The sequence below is a fragment of the Homo sapiens genome, chromosome 18, assembly GCF_000001405.40.
Source record: "Homo sapiens chromosome 18, GRCh38.p14 Primary Assembly".
Classification (NCBI taxonomy): domain Eukaryota; kingdom Metazoa; phylum Chordata; class Mammalia; order Primates; family Hominidae; genus Homo; species Homo sapiens.
Window position 1 is genome coordinate 36,697,629 of NC_000018.10, and position 17,830 is coordinate 36,715,458.

Sequence of the window (17,830 nt, forward strand, 5' to 3'; positions counted from 1 at the left end):
TGGCCCTGGGGATATATACGGCCTATATGGCCATGGCCTACTCACCAGCAGACATTATTGACAAAGGTTAATGATACTTCCTGTCACAGATGCAGGCATTTAAAGTATGGGTAAATATGGCGATTCCTGTAGCCTCCTGATCCTCAAACCTGGAAATAAAATTTAGACATAGAGTATCATGAAATGTTTAGTTTGTCTAAATGATTTTTCCTGTGGGCATCCATTTGTCCTTTTGGCTGTCATCATTGTTAGCGTTGACTGTCTTTGTCATCTTCGTTGTGGAAGATGTTCTGAGTCTCCTTCAGGTGTAGGGACTCTCTGAGGTTATCTAATCCACACAGCAGAAATCAGAAACATCTGGTATCCTATTTCCAACTGGCACGGTAGCAATGGAATATTGTCCATCATCAGCCTAACACTGCATGCTAGTTCTCTTGCATAAACCTTTTGGATGCCTCCAGTTCAGTGTTTCATGAATTGGCAGGAAACTAGATTCCTTGTGGTTCTATGACTCAGGGCTGCCTCCCTCCCTGCCTCACCTGACTGCTGCTACTTGATACCATTTTGTCAATTGGACAAAATCTTTCAGCAACTCTACCCAAGGCTGAGGTCCTACCTGCTACACCTGCTGTGGGCAGCCTTTGCAAATCATCGAGTTTTTCTGCCTTGCCATTTCTCAGTCTCTAAAAATTTCCCTTTTTCTCCTCATAGAAATGACAGTTGTCTGAAGTGTGTCTTCTTGCATCATATTTGGAAACATTAATTGGGATTGAGTCCTTCTGAAGTAGACAAAGTATATACCTTAAGTAAAGATAGGCATAGAATGGCACTGGAAAAGTTGGTAAAGAAGAGCATTATTTCTAAGGCAAGAGAATAGCTTGAACCCAGGAGTTCAAGGCTGCAGTGAGCTATGGTCTCGCCACAGCACTACAGCCTGGGTAACAGAGCAAGACCCCAACTCCAAAAAAAAGAGAAGGGGAGGTGGACATTACCTGATCAAAATTATTATTTCCTAGGCAGCTATTAGGTGTCAAGAGCTATGAAGGAACTGAAACATTACCCTATTTGTAAGCTAATGTGCTGCCTTGCCACAATTCCGTGGATGCTGGCAGAAGACACAAAATTCCTGGGTCAGAGACAAAGGACTTCATTACTTCTAGTGATAGCAATAGCCAGAATATCAACATTTGTGCCATTTCCCCAAGCCTCAGTTCCCACAGGGTGATGTGAATAGGGCCCAGTAAAACATGCAGGCACATTGTGGGGAACCTGGGGAAAGGAACCCTGAGCCTTGGGGACCTGAACTCTTTTATAATGGGCGGTAAACATGCCTTCCGTTTGTCCCAGAGGGAGACATTGTCTTTATTACAGTGGGCAATAAACCAACCAGATCTTTGCTCTAGGGAGACCCTATCTTCTAAGAGAAGACCCTGTCTTCTAAGGCTCCTTGCTATGCACACATCCTTAGAAAGATAGTGCAGAAAAGACTATCAATGCCTTTGCTTGCAAGACTGAAGAAACGTGGGAGAGCTGTAGATAGTTGTTTCCTAATATTAGATTATAATGGTTTTAAATCAACCTTTACTATGAAATTTGTATCCTAAAGTCTGTTTAGTGTAAACAAAAAATTCAAGTTTTGAACAGCAATTAGCTTGTTCTTATTTAACAAAAAAGAAAGTGCCTCAGGAGCTACAAGACCTCGCCTGGAGCAGGCACTTGGGATGAACAAGTTTGCTGCATCTGGAGACACTCACAGAGAATCTGGCTTGTTGGCTGGGTGAGACATCTGCACCTTTCATCCCAGGTGGGAGCCTTGGGTCAGTGCTTTCAGGTGCAGTCAGGAGGCTCCACATGTCAGGACAATGAGGGTTCTTGAGCCACAGTGGTACTTTGAATTTCCAGACAATGACTGAGACTGGGGAAATTAGCAAAGGAGAATAACTCTGGGGCTCCTTCTAGCATCCTTGTCCATGCTCAAGATCTTAATCACTACTCTGCTATCTCCACCACTCCCCCTTTCCCTTCAGCAGCCCTGCTTTCCCCCATCCATCTTTGGAACACATTTGTTCAAAATGATACAACACCTGCAGTATGGCAAGACACACTCACGTTGACTTTCTGGTACCTGAAATACACTTTTTCAGGAGAACCTCTGGGTTCAGTGACCATGCAGTGTGTTTCATCTGCCTCTGGGCATGATATGCATCTTTGGAGCCTTTTGAATTTGTAACTTCTGTGAGAAGGCTGCCTCTGCCAGATACATCGGGAAGTTCAAGTCGCTTTTTGTTGACTTTCTGGATCCATCCCCCTCTGGATGCCTCTTTGTCCTCTAGATCATCTCCAGGCTAAACAGGATAGTTGCCTTTTGAGTCGCGTGCATTTCTCATTGTTTTCTCAACATTTGTCTTAGTCTTTTCTCATTGTTTGGTTGCAATCCTCTCACTGACTCCTCTTCTGCCTTTTCACTACGTGGTGGGTTTTTCTGAAGTTCCTCTCCAGCTCCTCTCTATCTTCATACACATCCTCTCACTGGGCCCTCGCATTCCACCTGTGATTTTTACCTACCTCCCATATGCCTTGAATCCCTGAGGTCTGTACTGCCAGCCTTGGCCTCCCTGAGCTCAGGGCGTGTGTATTGCACTTCCCCAGCCATCTCCACTAAATGCCCCTCCAACTCTTCAGACCCACCAAGTGCCAGGCTGAGGGCTGTTCAGATGGAAGGTGATGTCTATCTCTCATCCAGAAACCCCCACCCGAAACCTGCTTATATTTTCTAGTCCCCACCTGGTTAAGGCTATCTCTCGTGGCCCAATCATTTAAGCTGGAACATTCATATAATTTTTGATTCCTCCTTCAACACTTACCTTACATCCAATCAATCCCCAAGTGTCTTTTGTGTTGTTTTCTCTCAAATCAGCCCTCTTTCTTTTCTCTTCATTGCCATTGCGTTAGTCCTGGCCTCAACCATCTCTGATCTGGGCCATTTCAATCACTTCTGATAGGTTTCACTTCTTCCAGGCTCTTCTCAGCAACCCAATTTAAAAAAAAGATCTCTGTACCTTTTCTTAAAATTATCGGGTGGCTCTCCATTATCTACCACATAAATTCAGATCTTATGTGGCATTCAAGACCCTTTGTACCCAGTACCAACCACCACAGCCACCCCCCAACAAATGTTATGCTCCATCCACACCAAACCACAGTCAGTACCTGAAAATGCCATGCTCTGTGCTTGGAGTGCACTCTTCCATTGGGTGCCCCCTGGACTCTTCATCGAGCTGAGGCATCTTCTCTTCTCTAAAGCCGCCCTTGATCCCTCTCTTGTGTTTCCCTTGCATCTTGTGCACAGTTGGGATGCAGGGCTTACCTCACTGTCCATGTGATAAGTTGCTCCTCCCAAGCATCTACGTGTGCCTCGGGCAGGGCACGTGCCTGTGCCCACCTTTGTTATTCCCAGTGCTTGGAGCAGAACAAGCATTCAGTACATGGGTTATGAGTTGGCGAATGGTCAAGCATGACAAAAGAAAGCAGACTCATGAATCTGCAGAGACAGCTGTTTCCTCTCTACCCAGGAAGAAATTTATTACATGAGCCATGGGTGGAGGACACATCTTTGACTATGCAGGCCACTCCATAAGGACTGAATAAATGATGTTGGTATAATTAATAGAGAGGAAACTTTTACAGAGAGTTGACATATCTGGGCCATTTCTTTCTGAGGATCTGACTCTAATAGAATAGTCACCCTATATGTTATCAATATGAGAATAATTGAACCTGAAATTGCTTCTTTTTTATCCTGTATGATACTACAGTAGCATTATATACATATTTAAGCAAGTGAACTTAATCAGAAGCGTAATCTGAGGGGCAAGAGTGGGAAGTGGAAATTCTAATTTAAATAGCGCTTTTAATCCTGTCTAACATTCATATTAAGTGCATGTCCCTGAGGGAGCATGACCACAAGGAGCATAGATCTTTTCTTCTTTTCCTTGAACCATTCCTGATTCCAACGTGCCCCTTGTCGTATGAACAATTTGCTGCTTCAAATGTGAGTTTAGAGTTTACAGATTTGTATTTGGGGGTAACACAGCCCATGAATGCAATCCCAGCACTTAAGGAGTTCCACTGACGCTAAATTAAAACCGTGATTGTCAAAACCATGGAGAAGTTATGGGATCTATAAGGTAGCACTGTCCAAAGGGACTTTTGAAGGTAATTTTGACTATACATGGTCAAAATTGTTCGGGTCAAGCAGGTTCAGGCCTAAGCCATCTCTGAAGTCATCTTCAGTGGGGCTTAGGTCTGAACCTCTGGAAAATCAAACTCTGAAACTTGAGGACAAAGCATGGCTTAACTTTTAAGGCATAAAAATTAGGCTATTGAATCAGTATTTTGCAAGTGATAAGCTGTCTCTTTTGTGAGGCTTGAGTAGAATTTCTTTTGTGAAGCTGAGTTTGTGCCCATCCTCATGCAACTATTCCTGTAGAGCAGTGATTCTCAACCAGGGGTGAGTTTGCTCTCCTGGGGGACATTTGGCAGTGTCTGGAGACATTTTCAGTTGCCACAATAGCAGAGGAGAAGTGGAAGGTTGGTGCTGAAGCCTCTAGTGAGTAGAAACCAGGGATTCTGCTAAACATCCTGCAGCTCATGAGACAGTCTCCCAGAAGAAGGAATTATTCAACCTAGAATACCCAGGTACCCAGGCTGAGAAACCTTGCTCTAGAGTGAATCCAAGTGAACAACCTAGGAAGAACTGGTCTAACACCAAAGGCAAAGTCTAAAAGATTTTGAAAGTTGTAAGCTTTTTTCTCTTGGGACCTTTTTCAGATTTCTGTGATTAAAACACACGTCTGTAGTCAATCGTGTTAGTTATTAGCTCTGAGCTGGGGAGGTCCCTGGAATCTACACAGTTTGGAGCAACTATTATAGAACTGGCTGGCCCAGCCCTTGGTTTCATAAGACCTGCCAGAAAGCCAAGTCCTGGCAGAGTCATCTAGACACTACCACAGATTGAAATCAACTGAAGCCACCCAGAGATGTATCAAGTTCAGAACTTTCTACCACCAATTTATCACTTCAAAGAAAAATTGCATAACCAGAAATTCTAATTGGACACTCTGAACTCGGCTGTCAGGGACGTGGATGAAAGCAACATTGAAACATTCCTGCCCACTGTGTGTGTGTGCGCGTGTGTGTGTGCACGTGTGCGTACACGCTTAATTCCAGGAATGATTATGTACTTCTTGATTGCTTAAGTCACCCACCACACAGTATAGCCCTGTGATTAACAGCCCGAGCTTTGCAGTCCAGCCAATCCAGGTTCAAATGCAAGCTCTGCTAGCATGAGCTCTGCTTAGCAGTGAGGTCCTGTTGGTCAGAGGGTTGCTGAATATATTCAGTGAAGGGACTGTTTACAGAGGTATAGGGAGGTCATGGGACCATCAAAATGTGGTGATGCTTCACCCAGAGACTAGCGGTCGTGGGACACTGTTCCCACCTTCAGGCCTGAAGAAACTTGGTGAATGACTAGGACTTGGTAAGAGTTGTGGCCAGAGGAGAGAGACCAAGGGACAGAAACAGTGGCCTGACAACCTCTGCCAAACTAAGGCCCTACGTGAAGGAAGCAGGGGTGTTAATATCCCAGTTTCCTTCTTCCTACCTTTGCTAGAACTTCCAGGGGCTGAGCCAGGGAGAGGGAGAGCAAATACAGCTGGTGTTCTGTGCGGGAGTCAGCATCCTCAGGCACAGAGCAGAACAGAGCATGGATCAAACAGTCAGAGAGTAGCCAGCCTACTGTGTAGCTCTGGGCAAGTTGCTTAACCTCTCTGAACATGTTTCCTTATTTCTCACATGGGGACATCAATCTTCACTTTATATTGTAGGTGTGGGAACCAAAGAGGATGATGTAATATGATTCCTGGTACAGCATCTGGGTGTAGAAGGTGCTCAATATGTAGTAAGTTTGATTTTTACTGCACTTAGGCAAGCAGGACCTGATGTCCAGTGAGGTTTTGGGGACCAGATGAGGAGTTGGTGTTGGGATTTGGGAGGGACAAAGAAAACAAGATTGTGTGAGTGATGGTCTGCCCTGGCGGACTTCATACAGGGACCAGCTGGCCGAAGTCCTCAGGCCGGCTCGTTCCTCATTTCTCTCCTCATTTTGCGACCTGCATGAGGAAAGCATGGTCACATTCTCCATCTGACGGGGCAGCCTTTATATTCTTACACCTAAGAAAAGCACTTAGTTTCTCCCCCCTTCCATGGGTTCTCATGTTGATGGGTTCCCATCCTGGTTTCCCAAACCCCACTCACTCCAGTAATGTCTGTTTCTTTGGGGTGAAGAATTCCTTTTAGTGGCTGTGTTCTGGTTATGGGTCCTTCCCCACAGGGTGGTTGGTGACAGCCCAGTACCCTGTTATGTCTCTTTGAGGATACCCTGGACCCCTTCTTTTCTATTACTTCTTCCACCTTGCAGAAAGTATCCATTACCACATCCTTTTATGCAGTTTAGTGTTGATTTTCTTCTTTGGCCCTTCTATTCCCCCTACCCCAACCTTCAAATCTAGCTGCAAGCCCTCGGAGCCAGGTCAGTGCAGGCTCTGGCCAAACACATTTTTCTGGTCTTTGCTAAGTGCATCCTAGCGATGCTGAGACCCCATCGATCTGCGCTCTTGGGCTGTGACCCAGGAAGACAGATCCCAGTTTTGGATGCCTGTAATGTTACCAGGCATTCCTTGCCATGTCTTCCTTTTATTTCCAAATGCACGCCCACTGCTAGGAGAAGGGTTGCCTGGGCACCTGGCCCAAGTCCTTCCTGCAGTTCCCCTCCTCCCTTGCACAGCCCAGGAGATGCAATCAGATCTTTGTGTCCTTCCTCCATCCAGGGTGGTTATGGACAAGCATGGTGAGCCGTGGCATCTCTTGACCTGCTGGGTTTGGGGTATCACAGTCACTCCTGAGCCTCCCTTGAAGATGCTTAGAGGCATTACATGCTGGGGAAGGGACACTCTGCTCCTTCCTGCCTGGCCACCCTGGCACGGGCCTTCACTGTTCTCTCCTGGCCTCAGCTTTCTGAGGGTAATACCAGAGCCCTCCCCATAGAGAGATCGTGAGGGCTTCGGAAGGCAGTTCCTGTGAAGTGCTCAGTAACCATTCCTCAAAGGGAGCCAGCAGCCCTGCGGAACTCCCTGCCCCGCTCCGGTGTGAACACGGTTCCTCCCCCAGCTGATGTCTGGGATGGAAAAACCTCCTGCTGTTCAGAGTCTCAGTCCCTTACCCATGTGTTCTTCCAGTGGTGCTGTGTTTTTATTTTCTTTTTCTCTTGAGCTCCACTGATTGGTGTTCACCTCTTCCTCCTCTGTCTCTCTCTCTAAGGTTTGCTTCGTGGACTCTTGATTCCACACTGACTAGGGGCCTCACTCCACAGCTCGCAGGCACACCCAAGCTGTTCCCAGCAGAAAGCCTTGCTTGCCTGTGATGCAGGTGGAGACAGGGCTCACCTCAGACAAAATGAAACACAGAGCAGACATCACTGTCCTTAGAGTAAAGTCCCAGATCCCTCCATCAACACACAGCGCTGGTTGCCCTGGCCCCTGACAACCACCCAAACCTCCTCTCACTCCTCCTGCCAGGCCACGCAGCTTTCATTCCCTCCGGCACGCAGTGGGCTCTGGGTGCCTGCATGTGCACTTCCCTCTGCCCAGGGCATTCTCAGCATTTCCCCCCTTTTAACTCATTTTTACCCCTTGAGACTCAAACATCATTTTGCCACAGAGACTTACGTTCCAGGCCTTGCCAAAGACCCTTGCCATGCCTTCCCAGGGCACCGTGCATTTTATCTTACACATCCATCACTCTTACAAAAGTATTTTCGTTATTGTGTCTGCTGGCAGTTGAGAGGTGGGGGTTTCCCTGTGCCCACTGGTGGCAGAGCTCACTCACTTTTGCCACACGGATATCACGGCAGGTTGTTCAGGATCCTCTCTAATCTGCTTCTCTCTAGCCTCTGTGACAGAGCTAGGTCAGTCTCATGGGTCGCTGTGTCTGTCTTTCACCACCAACACCACATTTTCAGGCCAGAGAAAGGCTCATTAAATTCTGGGACTGGTAACAGTGAGAAGTTGTAAACATTCCTAGGAGGGAAACAAGCACCTTTTCTCCCTAGTTGTTGCCAAAGGTCATAGCTCCCTTTAGGACTTTTCCTACAGGATTATATGGTTTCTCCCGTTTCCTCGGGACTTGGTGGGTATAAATGAGACGTTTTCCTGCATTTTCCCAGAGGGCAGCAGACCTGGCTTAGAGACACTCAGAAGGAACTGTGTGTGTGTGTGTGTGTGTGTGTGTGTGTGTGTGTGTGTGTGCACGGAGAGAAGTATGAGTGAGGGAAATCCTGCTGAAAGATAATGGGAAAGGGGAGGAGAAATGTTCTGGAGTTCGGTGTGGAGTCTCAGGGCTGTCCTGGGTGCTTCCTGAGTATCAGTAAGAATGCTGTGAGCAGACGCTGGCCCCAGGACCACGCTGGGGCCCTCCAGCAGGAGAGGAAGGCAAGGTCTTGGCCCTCAGACAACTTTCCTGTGTTTGATTAAGACAGCTAGAGAAGGGCTCTGCCGTGGACCCTGGCAGTTTTGCTTGACTTGAATGTGTGTGACAGTTATTTAATTTGTTCATCATTAGGATGGCCTCAGATTTGCAATCAGACCTTGTAGACACTGAGTCATGTATTCTGGGCAGGAGATGACTTTGCCGATTACTACCTCCCCAGCAGTCATGAAAAAAAGATACCACCCCAGTGGTTGAAATCACAAATTGAAATACCTGATTCCAAGAAGTTAGGCCCTAGTGTATTGGGATGAAATTGTACTCCTCCCCCACAAGAGTGTGGCTTTTCCAGAGCTCGCGTGTCTGTTAGCACACCTGCCCAGGCAGCCTAATCAGGGCCAGAGCCGCTGCTTGGGTAGAGTCCTGCATGTTCAGTGGAATGGAACATGGCAGTGCACACCCGCAGGCTGAAGTCAAATAGCCATCAATCACAGAGCCTCCCTACTTTGCCCAGATCCCTGGGGTGGTGAGTAGACACAGGCTTATGGCAGCCAACTGACCCCATGTCCCTGTCTGTAATGAAGCCGCCAGGAGGGGCCCTTGCTGGTTTTCACCATATGCTTACCAATTAAAACTTCAGTCCATGCCACATGCTGGGCTGTTGGAAACACATTTTTGTTTTGATGTGGCTATTTTGAAGTCCATGTGTGCAAAAACATGTGCTTTCTGTCAACCAAATGATGACGCTGCCGCTGCTGAGGCTGTGCTCTTGCCATGCTTGTAAAATTAATGGGGTTTTGTATCTCTCCTAAATACTCTATTATCAGATGAAAAAGAAATTACCATAAAAATTCCTTCAGTACCAAAGGGAATGTTTCTAAAAGGCCTGTTCACTCCATCCCATGACCCAGCACAGTTTTTACTTTTAAGGAAGAGTGTATGATGCTCTCATTCTCAGACACGTGGCCTCACAGCTGTGTGCCCATTGGCTTCCTTCTGTAACTGCCACCCATGAATCTCTGTCTGGAAACTATGCCCTCAGATCTCCAGTTCCTAAAGCCTTCCCCTCTTGGGATGCCCAGGAGGGACAGCCCCTCAGCTGCAGGGGGGTCTTTGCTGCCCCTCCCCATGTCCTCCAGCCTTCCCTGGAAGCAGGTTCCTGCCCCAGGCTGGAGTTCCCAGTAGAAGATGCACAACCTGTAATCAAAGGAGAGGAATTTACTCCTCCACCCCCAAATTCCTACCTGGCACTTGGGGACATTTCCACGGAGGAGTGGGATTTGGAAGTTGCCCAGGAATATCAGGAAAGGTGACATTTCATCTGCTCCACTGCATCTTCCCTGCCCAGCTAACTCCCTGACTCATCCTCAGAGGATGGCAGCCTGAGAGCAGATGAAGGATTGGGGGGTGATGGCCCCGTGGGTCCTGAAGAATGAGTTGCTGGGAAGCTGGGGTTAGCTGGGCCCCCTGCCTAGTGAGGCCTGAATGTCCCTTTCCCTTAGTAATGCCCATGCCCAGCCTGCTGGGGGGCTGGTTCTGTGCACCCCATGGCCAGCCGTGCCCATTACCTGGTGCCGCAGGATGCCTCCACAGAGAGCTGCCCTGATCTGCGTGTTCTCATGGAATCTGGGCAGGTCCCTTCCAGCCCCTGCCATGCGTAGACCCTGCCAGAATTTCTGTGTTGCTTTGAGCAGTGTGTACCTAGGGTTCAAGCACACACCCTTAGAGTGCATTGCCAGGGTTCCAGAAGAGTGGGCTTTGCTCAGCCTGAGGGCAGTTCCCTTAAGAGTGAGCCACCCTCCTCCAGCCTTCATGTGTGGCAGTTGGCTCAGAATTTTGTGTATTCTCGATCATTTTGCTACACATCCACAGCTCATAGCTGAGGGTTTTGCTCAGAAAAAATAAATAAATAAAAATAAAAAAATTTTAAAAAAGCATAAGCCAGATTGTGCCATTTCCCTGTTCCCTAGAGTGTCACACGAGTGAGAACATGATCATCTTACCTCAGTGACAGCATCAAATCTCCAGCGTTGATAGGTTTGCAAATAGACTGTGACCATGAGTGATTCTTCCAAACTGCTTTCAAAATCTCAAACTAACTTCACATTATGAGCAAATATAACCCAAGAAAAGGGTGATGAACCTCACTGGTTCAGCCAACTGATTTCAGGACACATTAGCTGTTTTTCATCAGCTTGATCCACCATGGATTTTGTTTCTCTTTCCCTAAACAGGCAAAAAGGTTATATATTAGTTTCGTATTGCTGTGTAACAAGTTTCCACAGACATAGCGATTGGAAACAACACTCGTTTATTATCTCACAGTTTCCATCTGTCAGAAGTTTAGCACAGCTCAGCTGAGCTCTTGACCTTGCCTGTCCACTGCCACAAGGCTGGAATTAAGGCTGCGGCTGGCTGGGCTCTTATTGGGAGACTCTGGGAAGAGTCCACTTCCAGCCTCATTGAGGGTGATAGCAACATCCAGTTCCTTGTGCCCACAGAACTGAAGTCCCTGTTCCTGGTAGGCTGTTGACCAGTGGTGGTTCTCAGCTTCTAGAGGCCACCTGCATTCCCTGTCAAGCAGCAGTGATGTGGCAGATCCTTCTCCTGCTTCGAATCTCTGACTTCCTTTTCTGCTGCCAATTGGAAAACTCTCTGCCTTTAAAAGCCTTTCCTGATTGGATCCAACTCATCTAGTAAACCTCCATATCGTAAGGTCACTGACTAGGGACTTTCCTGTCATCTGCACAATCCCTTCACAGCATTGCCTCGATGAGTGTTTGAATAACCAGGGCATAGGTCTCTTGGGGGCCATCTTTGGACATCTGTCCACCACAGAGAAATCAACCTCACATTCATTCTCACCTCACTTCACCCTTCCAAGAAATCTGTCGTCAATATAATCTCCATTGTTGTCTCCACCAGCAAGTGCCGGGGATCCTGAACCCGAATCAGAGGCAGAACCGGAAGCAGAGGCAGGGGCGGGGCAGGTTGCTGATGAAGCTGGCCAGGACATAGCCTCTGCCCACGAGGGTGCAGAGACTGAAGTGGAGCAGGCACTAGAGCAAGAGCCGGAAGAAAGAGCCTCCCTCAGTGAAAAAGAGAGGCAGAACGAGGGGGTGAACGAGAGGGACAACTGCTCTGCCTCCAGCGTCTCGTCCTCCAGCAGCACGTTGGAGAGGGAGGAGAAGGAGGACAAGCTCTCCAGGGACAGGACAACTGGTAAATGAAGCCCCTTGTTTCAGTCGGCATGTGCCAGGGAGGCCTGGGGTGCAGGGGCTGGTTCTCTAAGAGCTTGTCCACAGGCTGGCCTCTGAGGTGACCTGGGTCAACCCACTCATGTGGCTGTGTCACCCAGTGTCTGGGGACAAGGAGTGTGGCCACGCTGGCAGCCAGCCAGCAGCCTTCTGCCCTGTAGAAAGACAGCCCCCAAACTGTCTGCCACACCATCACATTCATCACCTCCACACCTGGGGAAAAGGGCCCCGATAAGGAGGGCTTTTCCTGAGGAATAAGCCCCAGAAGAGAAACCTCTCACTTCCCCCTGACTGTTCCATTGTGAATAATAGTAAGGTTGATAATAGTAAGGCTTTTTCCGTTTTTGATATAAGTTTAGAAACTGTCACATTGTCATCTATTCCTTTAAAAATGTGTTTACTGAAGTGTGTTAATCATTTTGACTGGACATTTCAGACTGGGAAAGATTTGTTTAAATGGATTGAATGAGTATTTCCAAAAAATTGTACACAGTTTACTGAGGTCAATTTGATGTACTGGAATATAGATAATTTGTTTTCTATATTACACTCATAACTATTCTTTTCTTTGTATAAAGTATATGCTTTTCCTTATGGAAGTATATCTTTTTGATGTTACACTTAATACTCATTCAGTTCTCCTATGAATGGTAACTTTAGAATTAGGGACCAAATGGAATGTTAGATTATAGGTTTGGTTTAGCCTGAAAGAACCTCACCAAGGACTTGAGAAGGGTGCCACAGAGGGTTATAGGAATCGTGAATAATTCATATGATCTGTGACACCACAGGATTACTTTTCCTACCCATGACTTGTGTGCTATCAAGGTGGTAGAATGCCTCCTTCCTCAACAAACACTCCTAACCAGTGGAGTCATGTCTTATGGGCCAGCCTTTCTTAAGCTACATATGAGTGGCACCCACTCGAGTCGATGTCTTAGGCCCAAAGGGCAATATGACACCTCTACAAAGGCCTGCCAACCAGTGCCATGACCCATGAATGGCTTATTCATTCCTAGATTAAAAATACATTGTCTCAGAAGCATGGATGAACGAATGAATGAAACCAGAATGTCTTCCAATAGACCTGTCAGTCAATGGCGTAGTCTAAAATAGTTACTATTTGGATTTTTTCCCAGTTAGAATATACTACTAGATTTTATGCTTTATATTGCTGGTCACTATGATGCAGTAAAAACAAGAAGATAAAAGACTTTATTAGTTTACATCTTAGGAATTATTGCATTGAAAATCCAGTGTCTTCATTTGGTTGAATATGTATGTGCCAAGAGGTATTATATATACTGATATTTACTTAATTTCTTTCAAAGTCAGATTACAGTTAGTCCCCCAAATTCTTCTTATCATTCATATTAATGTAATTATTGTCATAATACTGGGTGTAGGGTAAGTCTTATTGATCAGATTGGTCTTAAATCATGTTTTATTTATTAGGAATAGCTTTAAGAATTATTAATCATAACTGGGTTTAGCAGGCCTAAAACATATCAAGAAATTGGATTAGTAAAAATATACCAGGCGACAGGGCTTTCTTGGATCAGATTGTCCAATATTCTTCCAAAGAAGGACAATTTTCCAAAAGTGGAAACCGTTCCCAGTGAAGAACCACTGACTTTCTACCAAAGTGGGCAATGTCCAAGTATTTAGAAGCAGAAATTAGGGCTTTGCAATGATTTTTCTGCTTTGCTTCAGTGCTGTTATGAGAGTTGGTCATGTTTATTTACTGTAGCTTATTGGTTCCTAAAAAATCTCACTGCTCACAGGCATCATCAGCCACTGTGGAGTCCGGGCAGCTATGTCATTATAGCTCTTGCTTTTCAGAGTGCTGTCAAATCACAGAGCAACCTTAGAGATAAAAAATTATTCTCAAACGTATTTCTAATGATTATGTCAAAAATGAATTTGTAGGACTTGAAAAAGTCTCATTCCAGTTATGTGGTTTAATTTTTCTTTGTTTAATGTGTTCTACTTTAGGGCATGCATGTGAGAAGCTTTATCATAACATACATTTTACTTTTTTGTAGTTACTTGCATAATTGTCCTTTGTCTCCACTTGAATGTCAGCTTTGTGAGGGTGGGGATGTCTGTCTATTCATCGTGAGTCCTCACTTCCTAGCAGGGTCTCACAAAACAATCGATGAATAAATGAAGAGGCGTCTGGCTAAGATGGGGAAGCTTCATTGCTCCTGGGTCCTCCCTCTTACAACCAACATAGCAGCACCCTGAGAATACCAGAATAATCAGAGGAGGACTGTGAAAAGTGGAAAGAAGAATGCAGACTGCCTAGGAACCTCTGGACTTAAATTATATGACAGTGAAGCTCCAAGTAAAACTTATTCCCCTAGCCAAAGGACTGGGAAAAGGATTGCCTAACAGAATAGAACACAGGCTTTTTACTTATTAATACTTGTACCCTAGACAGGCACTAATGAAAAACCTGACCCAGAGTCAATGGAGACTGATAAGAAGCTGAACCTCCCGCGTCCCTTGGAGGTAATAAGGCAATGTGAGTCAGTGATTTAATTTCCCTGGGAAGATGCCAGTGAGGCCAAGGGAGGGGGCACTGACGTTCTACCCTCCTCATCTGCAATGAGCCAGTGTGAGTCAGCGCTCTTGCTGGGGTGGTGACAGAAAGATCCAGCAAGGAGCTGAACATCTCCCTCCACCAGCACCTGTATGCTATACCTAAAAAGGGTGACTACCAGCTAATAGATTAGATAGGAGCCAAAGTCTAATAAAGCATAAAATGTCCAAGACATAATGGAAAAATCACTCATCATTTCAAGAGCTAAGGCAATCACATCTTGAATGGGAAAATGCAATAAACAGATGCCAACACTGAGATGAGCCAGACATTGGAATTATGTGACGGGGATTTTGAAGCAGCCATAATGATATTGCTTCAGTGAGCAGTTACAAACACTTAGGGAATACGTAAAAAGTAAAATATCTCAGCAAAGAAATAAAAGATATTAAAAAGAACCAAAGGGAAATTGTAGAACTGAAAAACACAGTAACAACAAAAAAAAAAAATACTTACTGGATGGGCTTAATAGTAGATTGGAGACAACAAAAGAAATGATTAGCCAACTCAAAAACAAATCAGTGGAAATTACGAACTCTGAATGACAGAAAAAAAGAGACTGAAAAACATGAACAGAGCCTCAGGGACCTGTGAGACAATAAGACTCGATCTAACGCCAATTCATCGGAATCTGGGGAGGAGAGAGAGTGTAATGCTGAAAAATGCTTTGAAGAAATAATGGACCAAAACTTCTCAAATTTGTCAAAAGGTATAAACTCATAAATTTAGGAAGCTGAGCAAACCCCAAACAAGACAAATTTAAAGACATTCACACCAAGACATGATAATCAAACTTATGAAAACTAAAGACCAAAAAAAAAAAAAAATTTTGTAAGAGGCTAGAAAGAAACATATTACCTATAGGGGAACACCAGTCCAAATGACAGCACATTGCTCATCTGAAACCATGGAGGCTAGCAGGAAGGGGCGCAACATTTTGCAAGTGCTAAAAGAAAAGAACCGTCAACTATAAATTCTATATCCCTCATATGTATCCTTTAAGAATGAAGGGAAAATAAGACATTCTCAGATAAAGAAAAACTAAAAGAGTGGGTCCCTAACAGACCTATCCTCAAAGAATTACTACCGGAGGTTCTCCAAACAGAAATAAAATAATGACAGAAGGTTTGGAACTTCAGGAAGGAAAGGACAACAGAATGGGTGAAAGCAGGGGTAAATAGACTTTCTGCTTATGAGTTACTAAATCGTACTTGATGGTTGAAGCAAAAATTATAACATCATGTGATGTAGTGCTCTGTGTATGCAGAGGAATACTTAGGACAACTATACTTTCAGAGTAGGGAAGCTAACGGTATCAAAATGGAAGTAAGTTTTCCACACTTCAGAGTGGTTAAACAGCAATACTAGTTTACTGTGGTTAGTGTATATATTGTAATGCCTAGAGCAACCACTACAAAAACCAGAAGAAACAATGTACTTGGAACACTATAAATAAATCAAAATGAAATTCTGAAAAATAATCAAAGGGGATGAAGAAAGGTTGACTAATGGGTACAAGTATACAATTTGAAAGAAAAAATAAGATGTAGCGTTCTATAGGATCAGTAGGGAAATTATAGTTTACAATAATGTGTATATTTCAAAGTAGAATAATTTGAATGTTTGTAACAAAAAGAAAAGACAATATTTAAGGTGATGGATATCCCAATTACATTGATTTTATCTTTACAAATTATATGAATGTATTAAATTATCACATGTACCCCAAAAACATCTATTATGTATCAATTTGAAAATTTGTTAAAGTAAAAAAAAGTATTCAAGTAACCCATAGAAGACAAAGGAGAAACAGGAACTAAAACAAATAGAACAAATAAGACAAGTGGCAGACTTAAGCTCTAACATATCAGTAATTCCTTTAAATTAAAAGATAGATGGCAGAGTGGATTAAAAATGACACAATTATATACCATATATAGAAAACTCTTCTCAAACATAATGACACAGGTAGATTGTAACTTAAAAGTTGGGGGAAAAAGTCTGTAGGACTAGGTACGAAAGGAAGAAAAAAAAGTTGAGAAAAGATATATTATGCAAAAATTAAATCAGAGAAAAGCAGGAATGGCTACATCAGTTAAAGTAGATTTCAGAGCAAAGGAAATTACTAAGGACAAAGAGGGTCACTACAGAATGATAAAAGGAGTCATAAATTAATGAAGAGAATAAGCAAGAAAACTGGCATTTTAAAAATATTACCTGATTGCCTGGGCGTGGTGGCTCACACATGTATTCCCAGCACTTTGGGAGGCCGAGGCGGGCAGATCACTTGAATTCAGGGGTTCGAGACCAGCCTGGTCAACATGGTGAAACTCCCATTTCTACTAAAAATACAAAAATTAGCTGGGCATGGTGGCTCGCGCCTGTAGTCACAGCTACTCAGGAGGCTGAGACATGAAACTGTTTGAACTTGGGAGGTAGAGGCTGCATTGAGCCGAGATCACATCACTGCACTCCAGTCTGGGCGACACAGTGAGACTCTGTCTCGAAGAAAAAAAATATTACCTGATTATATTATTTTCCCTGTTCCCAAAATAAGAAAATGCTCACATTTCCCAATAAATGGAGAAAGAGCAAGGCTGTCTCTTAAGAAGGGCTCAGCCACTTTATCTGCTGCAGCCTCCTAGTGGTCTCCCTAGTATCTGACCAGTTGTTGAAACTCTACCTAGCCAGATTTTTTGCTATTATCCTCAGATGGCATCTCATCTCCTTTTGATGGTGATTATTTCCTAAGATATTTTGTTTGTAAAACCTAAAAGAGGGTTCAGTAGCTCCTTGTTCTGGTGTTGAGATGGCCTAAGGTCCCCTGGTCAGGTTAAGCCATTGTTGCACCAAGGACAGAGAACAAAGATACACTGGAAATCCTGGGGGACCTTGTGATCCCCCTGTCAATGCCTCCTCAAGCCAGGGCCCACCCTCCACGTGTTTGAGGGGGATGTTCCTTCGGCTGAATGAAGCTCCCAATGCTGACCTCCCAGGCCTGGGTCTGCTGCCACATCCCAACATTAGGATCCACTGAGGCCCTGGAAAGCTGATGGAACTGAAGCACTCACTACCTGGCTCTGCCAGCCCTGATGAGGTTTGGCTGTGTTCTCACCCAAATCTCATCTTGAATTATAGTTCCCATAATCCCCACAGGTCATGGGAGGGACCAGGTGAAAATAATTGAATCATGGGCGTGGTTTCCCCCATCCTGTTCTCATGATAGTGAATTAGTTCTCACAAGATCTGATAGTTTTTTAAGGCGCTTCCCTCTTTGCTGGGCACTCATTCTTCTCTCTCCTGCCACCACGTAAAGGAGGACATGTTTTCTTCCCCTTCTGCCGTGATTGTAAGTTTCCTGTGGCCTCCCCAGCCATGCTGAACTGTGAGTCAATTAAACCTCTTTCCTTTATAAATTACCCAGTCT

The 17,830-nt window shown here is 44.8% G+C and overlaps 1 protein-coding gene across 45 annotated transcripts in view, besides 1 other annotated feature; it reads left to right on the forward strand.

Annotated features, from left to right (window-relative positions):
* The window catches only part of FHOD3 (formin homology 2 domain containing 3), a 482,508-nt gene that overhangs the window by 399,916 nt on the left and 64,762 nt on the right, over positions 1–17,830 (forward strand). For 35 of the 45 annotated variants that reach the window (XM_011526189.2, XM_011526190.3, XM_017026008.2 and 32 more), the window contains one exon: positions 11,467–11,763. The exons of the other annotated variants lie outside the window; for them this stretch is intronic. In XM_011526189.2, coding sequence (XP_011524491.1) covers positions 11,467–11,763 — 297 coding nt within the window. The remainder of the gene's footprint in view (positions 1–11,466; positions 11,764–17,830) is intronic. 45 annotated transcript variants of the gene reach the window in all.
* Positions 9,588–10,089: an enhancer, noted in NCBI's record as "H3K4me1 hESC enhancer chr18:34287179-34287680 (GRCh37/hg19 assembly coordinates)". NCBI's record gives its function as "activates a minimal SCP1, AML or CMV promoter by ChIP-STARR-seq in naive H9 embryonic stem cells {active_cell/tissue: H9 hESC(naive)}" and the evidence as "EXISTENCE:reporter gene assay evidence [ECO:0000049][PMID:30033119]".